Here is a 1,453-nt window from a genome sequence, read left to right as displayed (position 1 = left end):
GGAAGTTAACGAAGCTGGGATTTAAACTCAGTTCTGTTTGATGCAAAATGTGTGTTGCTTATTCCCAACAGCCAAAAGCTGGAACAACCCAAGTGTTCCACCACGGATAGATGAATAGATAAACAAAATGGGGCATATACATACAATGGAATATTATTCAGCCTTAAAAAAGAATGAAATTATCATATATACTACAATAGAGATGAACAGGGCATTACACCCAGTGAAATAAGCCAGTCACAAAAGGAGAAATACTGTATAGCACTGTATATTGCTTAGATGGGGTACCTAGAGTAGCAAATTTGTAAGGACAAAGTAGAATGGTGCTTACCAGTGGCTGTAGGGAGGAGGGGATGGGGAGTTACTGTTTAATGGGTATAAAGTTACAGTTTGGCAAGATGAAAAGAGTTCTAGAGATGGATAGTGGTGATGGCTACACAATAGTGTCAAAGTACTTAAAGCCAAAGAACTGTAGATGGCAAATTGTATGTGTTTTATCACAATGTTTAATAAAACTTGTGTTGCTAACTATCATGCCAAGGGAACAGAGAAGGAAGAAAGATTCCTGTGTGCTTGGTGACCAGAGAAAGCTGCTTGGAGGTGAGATTTGAATGGGACCTTAAAGAGTGGGGGAATTTGAATGAAAGGAGTAAGGGTGGACAAGGTGGCAAAATAAACAAAATGCAAGAGAGACATTGGTGTCTACTTGGAGGATGGAATCTGTGGAGACTGTTTCAATCAAGGGAAAATAATTTTCTTTTTAAATTGAGATGGAGTCATGCTAGAGCTGGAGTGCAGTGGTGCGATCTCAGCTCACCACAACCTCCATCTCCCGGGTTCAAACAATTTTTGTGCCTCAGCCTCCTGAGAAGCTGGGACTACAGGTGTGCACCACCACGCCTGGCTAACTTTTTTGTATTTTTAGTAGAGATGGGGTTTTGCCATGTTAGCCAGGCTGGTCTCGAACTCCTGACCTCAGGTGATCTACCCACCTTGGCCTCCCAAAGTGTTGGGATTACAGGCATGAGCCAACATTCCCAGCCCAGGGAAAACAATTGTATCACAGATGGTTCCAGCAGGGATTCCTGAATCGGATGAGAGGCTGGATTAGGTGCCATTCGGATATCTTCCAGAGCGAAGAGTTTAAGATTCCACAACAACTGAGCCCTCTCTGAAAATGGAAGTGGGTAAATGAGTCTGCTTGAAGTGCAGGGGACCTGAGGAGGAACAAGGCCACCAAGGCTAGAAAAGAGAAGTAGGAGTGGGTGAGGAGAGCTTAGCCGAGGCTAAGCTGAAGAGCTTGGATTGTGTCTCTAAGCAATGGCAAGCCCTTGCAGGGCCTGAGCAGGGAGTGGCTGATGACCTGTGGCTTGAGGAGACGCTCCTACAGAGAAGGAGGAGAAGATGGCGGGGAGTGGAGTAGGAATTGGAGCGTGAAAAGGAAGGCAGCCTC

This window comes from Homo sapiens, chromosome 1 (genome assembly GCF_000001405.40).
Source record: "Homo sapiens chromosome 1, GRCh38.p14 Primary Assembly".
NCBI lineage: Eukaryota > Metazoa > Chordata > Mammalia > Primates > Hominidae > Homo > Homo sapiens.
Note: the sequence above shows the minus strand (reverse complement) of the source record.